We start from the raw sequence: 13,595 nt of genomic DNA, 5'->3' as shown, positions 1-13,595 counted from the left end.
CTTCTATGCAACTGCGTCCTCAGCAAGTCCACTTGAATGTTTAATAGATACCAAACAGAGCTCATGATTTTTCACCAAAGTCCTGTTCCTTCCCAGTCTTCCCTATAAAAGCAAATGGCACTACCATTCTCCCAATTATTCATCATTCTCTTTTCCTCACAGTCTACATCAACTCCTCAGCAGGACCTACTTCTAAAACAGAACCCAAGTCAGTCCACTTCTCACCTGCTGGGTTATATTACCTAAAGACCTATGTTTCTTTAAAAAGAAAAAGAAAAAACCAGTTACAGATGCTGACAAAGGCAGCATTCATACACATGAAAAAACTGGTTGAAAATCTGTACAGAAAACCAGCAATGATGGTTGCTTAGAAGCCTACTGGATGCATTCATAAGAGATAATTTGGAGCCTGAGAGAGATGGGTAAAAGAAGCTATGAAATGGTAAAGAGTCGATTGAGAAGCAATCATGCTCCAATCTCAGTAACCTTTACCATTTGTGTGACTGAGTCCTCCAACTTCTCTATAAGGAAAAGAACAACTTGGGAGAAAAAAAATTTTTGGCAAAGATTTATTTTTATTTTAGTAGCATTTTCAAATAGGTATGTACCAAGATAAAGGAAATATAAATTTAAAATCTAAAGGAGAGATATATGAATAGTAATTAAGTCACTACATACTGTACAGAGATCCTTATATTGCAGCTTTTGGAATTTTGTGTCTGTGTTTCCTGCACATAGTTCCACATAACCAAGAACAACTTGAAACACGGTGTTGTGAATGGCTTGGGTGAAGTGCATATGAAGTTGATCCATTGCTGTCTGTGGAAAGAAAAAAACGCACAACATAATTTCACATTATTAAAATAAATAAATTTCAACAAATTGAAAAAACCCAGGGAAACATCTTTTCAAATAATAGTTACAACACAAAGATAATAGTTTTCCCAGAATTATACTGGGAAAATTATACTGGGTATATTATTTGCAAATAATCCTTCACATAACCAGATTATCAGAGCACTCAAAATAAATGTGACTCGTGAACACTGCTCTGTTGTTCTTTATTTATAACTGGTATTCATCTTGCTCTTTCTTAAATATGTTGTACACAACCATATCTCTAATTACCCTCTGCATCATTCTGCATGTATTCCTTCTTTTATATCATTCAGTGCACTTCTCAATGGTAATCTTCTCAGGGAACCTTCCATGACTAGCCTATATGAATCAGTACTTTCTATCTCTGCATCCACATACTCTGATTTATATTTCTTTGTAACATTTGTTACTACCTGACATCATATTCATTTACAGGCATACCTCACAAAGCAAATTTTTTTATTTCCCAGTGTATATAAAAGTTACATTTACACTGTTCTATAGTCTAAAGTGTGTAATAGCATTATGTCTTTAAAAAACAACATATAAACCTTAATTTTAAAAAATTGCTAAAATTTAAAAAAATGCTAATAATCATCTGGGCCTTCAGTGAGTCGATCTTTTTTCTGGTCGAGGGTCTTGTCTCAATGTTGATGGCTGCTGACTGATCAGGGTGCTGGTTGCTAAAGGCCGAAGTGGCTATGGCAATTTCTGAAAAGACAACAGTGAAGTTTCCTGCATTAGTTGACTCTTCTTTTCACAAAATATTTCTCTGTAGCATGCGATGCTGTTTGATAGCATTTTATCCACAGTAGAACTTCTTTCAAAACTACAGTCAATCCTCTCAGACCCTGCTGCTGCTTTATCAACTAAGTTTATGTAATATCCCAAATTATTTCTTGTTATTTCAACAATGTTCATGGCATGTTCACTAGTAGATTCCATCTCAAGAAACCACTGTCTTTGCTCATCCATAAGAAGCAATTCTTACATCCATTCAAGTTTTATCATAAGATTGTAGCAATTCAGTCACATCTTCAGGCTCCACTTCTAATTCTACTTCTGTTGCTGTTTCTACCACATCTGCAGTGATTTCTTCCACTGAAGTTTTGAACCCCTCAAAGTCATCATGAAGGTTGGAATCAACTTCTTCCAAACTCCTGCTAATGTTGCTATTTTGACCTCCTCTCATGAATCACAAATGTTCTTAATGGCACCTAGAATGGTGAATCCTTTATGGGAGGTTTTCAATTGACTTTCCTGAGATCCAGCAGAGGAATCACAAATGTTCTTAATGGCATATGGTAAATCCAGACGCTTTTCAATTTACTCTCCCCAGATCCATCAGAATAATCACTATCTATGGTACCTATAGCCTTATAAAATGTATTTCTTAAGTAGTATGACTTGAAAGCCAAAATTACTCCTTGATCCATGTGATGCAGAATGACTGTTATCAGGCATGAAAACAACATTCATCTTCTTGTATATCTCCATCAAAGTCATGGGGGACTAGGTACATTGTCAATAGACAGAAATATTTTGAAAGGGACATTTTTTTTTCTGAGCAGGTGGTCTCAACAGTGGGCTTAACACATTCAGTAGGCCATGTTGTAATCGATGTGCTATCATCCAGGCTTTGTTACTCCACTTACAGAGCACAGGCAGAGTAGATTTAGCATAATTCTTAAGTGTCCTAGGATTTTCAGAATCATAAATGAGCACTGGCTTCAACTTAAAGTCTTCACATGCCTTAGCCCCTAATAAGAGAGTCAACCTGTCTTTTGATGCTTTGAAGCCAGGCATTGACTTATTCTCTGTACCTCTGAAAATCCTAGGTGGCATCTTCTTCCAATAGAAGGCTGTTCCGTGTACACTGAAAATCTGTCTTTAGCATAGCCATCTTCACTAAGCTTAATCATTTCTAGCTTTTGATTTAAAGTGAGAGACATAAAGCCACTGTAGGTTTATTAATTGGCCTATTTTCAATACTGCTGTACCTCAGAGAATAGAAAGGTCCAAAAAGAGGGAGAGAAGGGGGAATGGCCAGTTGGTACAGCGGTCAGAACACACACATTTGTGAATTAAGTTCACCATTTTATATGGGCACAGTCCCATGGACCACAAAACAATTACAATACTAACATGAAGCTCACTAAACACAGATCACCATCCCAGATATAATAATGATGAAAAAGTTGGAAATACTGCAAGAATCATGAAAATCTGACACACAGACATGAAGTACATGCATGCATACTGTTGGAAAAACGGCACTGACAGACTTGCTTGATGCAGGTTTGTCATAAACCTTTAATTTGTAAATAACACAGTATCTGAAAAGCACAATAAAGTGAAGTGTAATAAAAAGATGTATGCCAGTATCCCTCACTAAAAGGTAAGATACATAAAAGCCTATATCCAGACACCTGAAGCAATGTGCGTAGGAGGTACCAAAAATATTTATGGAATTTAAGACTTAATCTTATGAGGGAAATTAGAAGTTATAATCCTATTTTCAAAGGTGTTTAAACATATCCCTCAAAATTGCTAAGTTCTTTCTTCTTAGATTTTTTTCTTGGGTATAGCTTAAGACATGAAAATTAAATTACAATAAACAGTAAAATTTCTTTATTCAGATTTCAAAATGTAGAGTTTAAATTGTTTAGCAAAATCTTAAACTTCCTTCTAAAAGAGGGGACCGTTTAAGGGAAGAAAACATTTACATCTATCACATTAAATGTTGTATAGGTAAACATATAATCCTATACAAACAAAAGATACAATTAACTTTCAAAACCATGGCACCTGTTTCAAGCTTTTCAAGGAAGCCCTTGAACAGTAAGAGTATGAAAAGCCATATATTATGAGAGAAGTTATGACATTTTGGGGATAAAAGGACCCTCTGAAATATGTGATAAATAAAATGGACTTGTTTTACAGATAAAGGTACAAAATGTACAATGCTGACATATCATTTTGAGGGAGTCATGCTGGCTATCTAACAACACGTGAAGCTGCAAATTAGGAAGTCCTGTTTCAGAACCAAGAGCTGAGTTAAAAGAGACTACATGTTGTCTCCCACTGAATTATCTTATAATATACTTATTGGAAAATCTACATAAAATTGTGAAAATATTAAACCTGACAAGTACTTCATAGTTCAAAACAAACTACTGTAATGTTTTAACCACATTATATACCCTCTGAGTCTACAAGAACAACCATTTTATCACTGTTAATTCAGAATAAAAATGTACTTCGTTAAATAAAACTTTTTAAGGACATGAGATTAATAATATTCAGACTTAATCATGAAGGACAACAAATTCCTGATTAAGGAAAAATCCAAACATCCTTTTGTAACAAACCTGTGTTTTTCCAAGAAGTCGATAAGCTTGTTGAACCTTGGTATAATGGTTAATGTCAAAATTCTTGCAGATTTTGGAAAGAGCTACGTCCAGCTGTTCCTATATAATTAAAAGAAGAAGCAAGACATGGTTAAGGAATTATGTTTTCAAGGCAATGAGAAGAAAACATTAAGACTAATTTCTCACTTTTAGTTAACATTTAAATACATTTACTATCATACCAGATTTAGAAGTCAAAAACAAATTTAAATAAAGTTATAAATTGCAATTGTAAATTTATTAGCAACTATAATCAAGTTTACCAAGATATTAACATGTGAATTTCTATGCCTTAAAACCCATGCCTAGTGTTTTACAGGAAACAAAATAATAGTTTTGTAATGAATCTTACTCTTACTACTACTTAATGTTTCCTCAAGCATCTGCTAAAATCTTATATAAACTGAATTTGTGGGACTACTGGAGAACAATAAAACAATCTTTCTCTAATCAACGAAAAGGAATTCTCAACAAAACTACATTGAATTTAAAAGTATATTCCTCAAGGTTTAAGCTCTTTTATCTAAATTACCATGCTTTATGGATTTCTTTTTCAATGATTTTACTTTGAAATAAGAGTTTTTAATATAAATACAGAATAATATCTATTAAAAGTGAAGAAATCCTGGGCTCTCAAAAGAAAGCCTTCATTAAAATATTCAGGGAATTGTTAACTTAAGCCACTCAAAGCAGTTGTTTCTGTGACTATCAAATAAACTGTCATTCTCACAATTATTTAATAGCAAATAATTGCATTTGTGGTCAAAAATTACTTTCTCAAAAGGTAATTTGAAAGTCCAATCTCAACTTTTATAAATACTCTTATCAGGAAAACAATAAAAGACTAGAAGAAACCAAATACAAATAATTCTTATTTATTAAAATGAATACCCTCCTTTGCAAAGATTGTCAAGGAAAGAGATGAATTTTGAATATATGTAACAGGCAAAACATGCTTCATGCTCATAATTACATATCTCTTCCTTTTTAGTTTCTACGTTTTTGATGAACTATGTGAGTATCATTATGAGGTTTAGGAATTTTGGAGGGTTTTCATCAGCCAATAATTACTTACAGGTAAATTAACTCACTATACTAAACAATAAAGTAACTGATAATTAAAATATAATTAATACATAGAAAGTATTTTGGCTATTATATAATTTATATGAGAACACACCTATGACTAATAGTTTGGAAATTTTTCTTGGAAATGGCAATATTTTCAAATGCTGTTTTGAGATCCCATAATTTACAAGTAAATTTTTACACTAACTTGACCATAAATAGATATTCCAAATGAAAATCAAGAAATACAGTGATCTAGAGACATTGGTAATAACATAAAAGCCAAAACACAATGTTGCACCTAGGCTATTCAAAAACTTCTGAAAAGAAAAACTCATTAAGGTTAGGATATAATACTTCTTACCTCAATCTGTTCCAAAGTATCTTGCAGCTTTGAATTCAGTTCACTATTAAAAAAAAAAAAAACAGTTTTTTTCTATTTCTGAGACAAACTAAGTGCTAAATAAATACATACTAACTGAATAATTAATCCATAAATTCAAAGATTAAGAGTATAGATCGTAAGACATGCTGCTGAATTCTACATATAGACAATGCAATAAGAAAAAGTATTAGAAGGGAATAAGAGTCATTAGCAGCAGCAACAGGATTGCGTGAGTAGAAAGAAAGAATCTACAGATAAAAATAAAAAAACTGAAGAATTAAAATTGGTAACTTTTACATAAACAGTGTGTCTATATAAACAATGTTTGTGTGTTTAACAGCCAATTGAATATCCTCTTTCTCAGTGATCTGAAGACTTTTGCCCTTTATTTTTATTCTATCTGTCCCAAGTGTATTGGTCATTCAGGAAATGCAAATTAATACTATAAAAACACTGTAACGAATGAAAAAAATGGCTAAAAATATTTTTAAAAAATTAAAAATGACACCACCAAATGTTGGCAAGGACGTTGAGCAAACAGAACCACTCATCTGATGCTAGAGGAAGGGGAAACTGATATAACCTCTTGGAAAACCCTAATATCTACTGAAACAACACACACTCTACCTCCCAGCAGGTCTAGTCCTGGATACATACTGAACAGAAAAGCACACAGAATCCTTGCAGCATTATTTTTAATAGGCAAAAACCTGAGGCAACACAATTGTCTAGAATAATTAGATAAGCAAAATGTGATACATTCATAAAATAAAATCCTATAGCAATTAAAATTTATGTGAACCACAAAAATATGTTTGGCAAAAGAAGTCAGTAAAAAATAGTATATACTGTATGCTTCCATTTATTTAAAGTTCTAAACAAGCAAAACTAATTTTGGTGACAGAAGCCAGAACAGCGCTTACCTTAGAAGAATGACTGGGATGAGACATGCGAGAAGTTTGTGGGGTGTCAGAAATACTCTGTTTCTACTTCTAGGTGGTAATTACATAACTATGTTTACTTTATAAAAGCTTACTGAGTTATACTCATACACTTAGGACACGTGATTGAATCTAGATTTTTCCCCCTTTAATTCTTACGAGGTCAGTAAAAAAAAAAAATCAATAGAACTAACATTATTTGAATTTTATCTCACTACTAAAAAGGATGTGATGTCTAACAAAATAAATGCAATCACAGAGAACATATTTTAACAAGAAAGAATAAAACCTCATTGTTCTTAAAATAGTACAAACAAGTGAAAGACGTTTAGCACACCAAAATCAAAGGTTTTTAAAATTGCTATCTACTGATAATAAACTTGACTCTCAAATTCCTAGCAGCCAAAGCAAATAGGGAGGGCCATAGTACTTAATCCAGTGTCTATAACAGAAGAACATACCAGTAGCTCAAAGGGGAAAAATAAATCAAAACAAAAATATAAAAAATCACTTTTGTTTGCATTAAGTTCTGAGAGAAAATTTTGCCAGTGTCTTGATCTCCAAAGGCACAACCCCCTGACAATATCCTTACAATACATACAATAATGGGTTCCTTGCATTTGCTTCTTATAGAGCCTTTCAAGGCAAGCTACAGAGATAATACCAGAGTGAGATATAGATAGACATAGATAGCAATCTGTCAGAAAAGTAAAACCAATGTAATACAAGCACACAGTTTTTGATGCTCTCAATGATAAATGTCCAAACATCTAGAGGAATTAGATCATTTTCTGCAAATAGTATTTATCATAAGCATACTTTGAACTGAAGTTGAGGACTGGAGAGTATATTCTCTAGTAAAAACTGGAAGTGAGCAAAACTATATCCTTTGACAATTAACAGTGTAGGACTGATACCTTATTAGAAAAATTAAGATCTCTAACCAGGATTTGTGCCTGAAATATCAGACATAGATTAAGGGAATACTTGCAGGTAGGACTGAAATTTCCTTAAAAAAATAATTCTAGGACAACTCCTGCCAAAAAAATAATGAATGGATAAATAAGTGAATGAAGAATGAAAACTATTGTCCCCAAAATAATTCCCCCAAAAGGATAGCTATGGCAGTATCTTAACACTTTCAAATAATTAAATAAATCCTCACCCAACCACAAGAAAAGCAAAACAAAACAAATCAGTATCTTCTCTCCCTCAGAGCTGTTCCTTCTCCCATGTTCTCTGTCTCAATTCACAGCATCACCACCTACTCAAATAAAGCTGAAAATCTCAGCGTCATCTTGCATTCTTCCCTCTCTATATGTAATTAGTAATCAAATCCTGATGATTCTACCATTTCATTTCAGTATTTCCCATATCCACCTGTGATTATCTTTTCTCAATTCTATGTCCTAATTCAAGCATTATCACCTTTTGCTTAGGGAATATAAATCATTCTGTTATAAAGATACATGCACGTGTATGCTCACTGCAGCACTATTCACGATAACAAAGACATGTGAATAGCAAAGACATGTGAATAGCAAAGAAATGGAGTCAACCCAAATGCCCATCAATGACAGACTGGATAAATAAAATGTGGTACATATACACCATTGGATACTATGCAGTCATAAAAAGGAATGAGATCATGTCCTTTGCAGGGACATGGATGAAGCTGGAAGCCATTATCTCCAGCAAACTAATACAGGAATAGAAAACCAAACACCACATGTTCTAACTTATAAGTGGGAGATGAACAATGAGAACACATGGACACAGGGAGGGGAACAACACAGTGGGGCCTATCAGGGGATGGGTGGGAAGAAGAGCATCAGGAAAAATAGCTAATGCATGCCAGATTTAATACCTAGGTGATAGGTTGATAGGTGCAGCAAACCACCATGGCACACATTTACCTATGTAACAGACATGCACATCCTGCACATGTACCCGGAACTTAAAATAATGAAAAAAAAAATAGCTTCCTAATGAATCTGCATATGTAACACACCTATTTTAATCAATCTATCCATTTATTTGACAAACACCATCAACCAAACATTGTACAACATCCTTCAAAAAGCTGTCAGAAACAGCTCTGAGCAGGGGTCTAACTTCACATTGGATTTGGTCAATATTCTATATGATTTGGCAGACACAGTGTTGTCAAAAGGCTTTATGCAAGGCAAGTGCTATCTAGTCCTGTGGGCTCTACCATTTCCTATGGTCTTACATCTGGCAGCCTCACATTTATATGACCTGCCTGGTCCCTAAAGACATCTGAGCGCAGCTCTTAAGTAAAGCAAAAATAAAACCACATTAATCTCCTGCTTTAAATCTTTTGGTGGCTCCCTATTAAACTAACGAGAAAAGCCCCAAATTAGTATGGCATGTAAGACCTTTAACAATCTGACATGAAAAAAATAACTTCACATAGACTTCTTAATGCCTATATTTTAGACATACGTACTGTGCACAGCACCTGAACCAAACTCCAGACTTTCACACCCTCAGTTCTTGTACATAGTGCTCACAATAACTTGAATATCCTTTCTTCCTTTCTCACTCACAAACATCCATCTATCTTTCCAGGCTTAATTCGAATACCATATTCTCTGGGAAGTCCTTCCCTGCTAAGTAACTACCCCCACAACCTTCATAATACTCTGTTTACGAATTCCTGTACTACAGTAAGGAATACCTGTGGCTGTGTCTCCAAGGCACAAGTGTTTAAGGCACTGTGGCTTACTCACCAGTGACTCCCCAGAACTAAATTTACTACCTAACTCAGAGCAGGTAATAAATATTCTAAGTCAAATTTGTAATTGAAAGAAAAATGGTAAAATTTTGCCATCATTCCATTAGCCCCTATTCTCTACCTCAATAAATAAAACTACAGAGACAGCAGGAAAGGGAAGAGAATGTTTTAGAAGAACCACACTGAACTCTGGTCTGCAGGAGCCTTAGCAAGAAAAGAGAGATGAGTAAGAGTTAAAGACAGTTCCTCTATCATATGGAGTTCAAAATTTCACCCAAGGCTGATCCTAGAGTAACAGAAGCAGAGAGGCAAGGACAAGTGGAATAATGAGTAATTCAGAACTGATAAACATTTTCCTTTAGGGAATATTTTGAGTCTGGAGGAAAAAGAAATATATCTGAATTCATTCACAAGTGAAAGCAACGATTTCTTCAGCTTCTCTATCAAAACAAATGGGCTTTAGTGTTGGTTTATGAAATTATAATAAACCTAGATGTTTTTATGGCTGTTATTAAAGGTAAGTAATTCTATATCCCATTTATTAAGATTTAATGCAAATGTGGTAAGGTAAACAGCATATGGAAGACTACAAACATAAAAATCTATAAATCAAAAATTGGCTTTCATTAAAAATGCTTTCAAAATGTACAACTGCAATTTGACAACAATTTACTACTAATTAAAAATACATATATAAAAGTTATGTGATTAAATAGTGGACATTAACTGTACAGCTTTTAAAGAAGCTCTTAGCCATCATTTAGAAACATGAATTCAATCCATTTTGATCAATTAATTAAAGTATGTTAAAAGGATCTATTCATAAACACTTTGATAAATAAATGCAACATTATGGTCAAGAAATTACCAGTTCTAAGATGGAAGGCTAAAAGCCTTTAAAAGCGGTCTGCAAGCTGAATGGAACGAATCAAACAATTCTGCAAAGGGTTTTTACCATCACTACAGGAAATATTAGGAATAAATTATCCATAAAGAACCAATTAATAGTGTTCTTTAAACAACTAATCTAGGACACACATACACTCACAAGAATGAGTCCTAGAAAGGTTGCATAGAAATAAAGATTTTGAACAAATCTGACTATACAAAAAGACAAGATGGCACAGCGATAATATCTTAATGATCTTTCCCTGGTCTGTTATTAATGAACCATATGATTTAAGTCAAGTCCTTTAATATCTCTGGGCATCAGTTTCCTACATAAAGGTGGGCCAGATAGAAAGGGTTGCTTCCAGCTCTAATGTTTCATGATTCTATTATATGCTGAAGACGAGTTACTCAATTGCCCAATTTGTACATGGTTCAGTAAAGTTATAAAACTTTTAGAATGAGCTTAAGTAAATGTACTTCCAAGTTTATACTGTATCTCCATGGCCCTAAGACACTGACGTTCCAGTCTGTTTAAATCAGAGCCTATTCCAGTGGTTTTCAATCTACTTACAGGAAGCAGAGAATTTATCAGCAGACCTCAGAGAAACTGATTTTTCAACATTCTAAAGTTAAACCAACAACTCTTAAGTACCATGAAGTGTCTATGTGATCCTTCAAACCATATATAACCAGGCTATAACAGAATTCCTAAGATCACTTTGGATCTAACTAGATGTCTGTCTTCACTTAACTTCACTTAACTCTGTTAATAAATCCCTGACCTTGCCCAGGCGCAGTGGCTCACGCTTGTAATCCCAGCACTTTGGGAGGCTGAGGCAGGTGGATCATCTGAGGTCAGGAGTTTGAGACCAGCCTGGCTAACATGATGAAACCCCATCTCTACTAAAAATATTTAAAAAATAGCCGGGTGTAGTGGCGTGTGCCTGTAGTCCCAGCTACTCAGGAGGCTGAGGCAGGAGAATCACTTGAATCAGGGAGGCAGAGGTTGCAGTGAACCGAGATTGTACCACTGCACTCCAGCCTGGGTGACACAGTGAGACTCTGTCTCCAAAAAAAGAAAGAAAGAAATCCCTGACCTAATCTATCACCACAAAGCTCAGAGTCCAATAATAATATGTTCAAAACATCTCCAACTTTATTAACTGTAATTCTAGATCACAGATCGGAACCCACAGGCCAAATCCAGCTGGCAGTCTGTGTTTCTAAATAAAGTTTTAGTAGAACATAGCCACAACCGTTTGTTTACTTTTTGTCTACAGCTACTTTCAGACTACAAAGGCAGAGTTGAATAGTTGCAACAGAGACGTATGGCATGTAAAACCTAAAATATTTACTATCGGGCCTTTTAAAGACAGTTTGCCAAGCCCATGCTAGAGTTCAGCAGAACTTTTAGTTGGTGAACTGATAAAAGTTAAAACAGGAAAGAGATATATGTGTGTATATGTGTCTGTATATATATATTATGTATATATTTTTTAATTATTTTTAAAAAATTAGTAAGCTGTAAAAGTGGTTTACTCCAGGGATTAGGAAAGTGACGGGTGAATGGGGCAGAAAGAAAACTGTTTGCTTTTTATTTAAAACCCTCTTGTTTATTAGGATTTTTGTCATGTGAAACTATTATTTTACATTATTTAAAACAGCACAGCATGGCAGAGGGAGGCAGAGAAAAACAAGTTAAAATAGAAGATGAGGAGTGCAGGTGTTATCAAAACTTGGTCCAAGCTGACCAACCAACAAGCACTCAGGATCTAGACAATGGATCAAGCTAGAAGGCCTGGCAACCTAGCAGAAACAATCAATGTTCAAACATTACTCAAGGCAGGGCTCCTTATGTCCCTGACCTTAGAGGAAGAAAGCAGGCACACCTTGCTATAAAGAAATTAATGCAATAGGGGAAGAAAAGTTCCCAGTATTGCTATATTTGTCAGCTGTGTTCATTTGCCATATGACGTAAAGACATTCTACAACCTACAATTTTCACTAAACTACCAAGATCATATTCTGAGAAAAAATGAAGGAATTCTTGAAAGATTATGAGACATTTAATGCATCTGTTTATGTTAAAGTACAGTACTCAAGAAACTAGTTCAGCAGTATGCAAACCTTACAGTGCATAATACAAAAGCTATCAGGCTCCCTCAAGTAGTTTCTTTCAAATGAAATACAATAATAAAGCAGTTTTGACTTTTAAAATTAACTTTCCTTGAAACAAATTGAGACAAATTTCAAGTGAAAAAGAAATTAAGTACTTCATTCATAGATGCACTTTAGCATAAACACATTCTGATTCTTATTCTCAATAAATCCCAACTATATGACTCTCTGTCAATCAACTCAGGAAATATCAAACAATGTAAAAATGTTCTCTCAGTTATAAAAGTGAACAAAACTGGGATTACTGTATCTTTTATTAAAGATGCTGAAACATGGCACATCTTAAGGAAGACAGGTGCAGAGGAAGTGCCACTTCTGTTTCATTTTTCAACCAACTGGGTGCATCATTATATGATAATCATTCCTCAGTCTATGTGGGGGATTATTCTGAGACCCTCCATAGACATCAAAATCCACGGATACTCAAGTTCTTTATATAAAATGGCACAGTACTTGCATATAACCTATCCGCATCCTCCTTATACTTTAAATCATCTTGATTACTTATAATGTCTAATACAATGCAAATGTATGTAAACAGTTATATTGTATTATTTTTTATTTTTATTATTTTTATGATTGCATTGTGATTTTTGTGTTGTATTGTTATTTTTGTTGCTGTTTTTTCTTTCCAAATATTTTCCATTTTCAGCTGGTTGAATCCAGAGACACAGAACACATGGATACAGAGAGCCGATTATACTTGGCATTTCATGTATTAAACTACCTAGTCATATAATCTGAGACTTACAAGATATAGAGTCAGTATTTCTTTATGCAGAAGCAAATATGTAAATTGTTTTTCCTATTTTCAGAATCATAAGAGTCAGTCCTAAGTTTTTCCATCTCAGCTATTCCAAGTAACTCTCCTTAGAGAGTTTGCACTCTACCAAAAACAAAAACCTTATTTCCAATAAAGGAGTGATGTGACTAGGAAAGAAAAGAGGAACACATAATCTGCCAAGAAAAAATTAACAAGTAGACAAGTAGGTATACTGTGCATATAAACTTGCTTAAAATATTTTTTAAAAATCACATCAGAATTCAGAAATATTCTATATCATGGGGTGATTCTCTCAAAAATC

The 13,595-nt window shown here is 34.1% G+C and overlaps 1 protein-coding gene across 7 annotated transcripts in view; it reads right to left on the bottom strand.

Moving 5' to 3' along the window:
• VPS50 (VPS50 subunit of EARP/GARPII complex) overlaps window positions 1–13,595 on the bottom strand; it is a 128,758-nt gene that overhangs the window by 84,140 nt on the left and 31,023 nt on the right. For 6 of the 7 annotated variants that reach the window (NM_001257998.2, NM_017667.4, XM_011516396.4 and 3 more), the window contains 3 exons: window positions 5,722–5,764; window positions 4,251–4,349; window positions 679–819 (listed from right to left, as the gene is read on the bottom strand). In NM_001257998.2, the coding sequence (NP_001244927.1) occupies window positions 679–819; window positions 4,251–4,349; window positions 5,722–5,764 (283 nt within the window). Of the gene's footprint in view, window positions 1–555; window positions 820–4,250; window positions 4,350–5,721; window positions 5,765–13,595 lie in introns of those variants that run through there. The other variant, NM_024553.3, reaches the window with a different exon arrangement.

The sequence above is a fragment of the Homo sapiens genome, chromosome 7 (assembly GCF_000001405.40).
Source record: "Homo sapiens chromosome 7, GRCh38.p14 Primary Assembly".
In the NCBI taxonomy this organism is placed as follows: Eukaryota; Metazoa; Chordata; class Mammalia; order Primates; family Hominidae; genus Homo; species Homo sapiens.
Note: the sequence above shows the minus strand (reverse complement) of the source record. Positions and strands in the feature narration are given on the sequence as shown.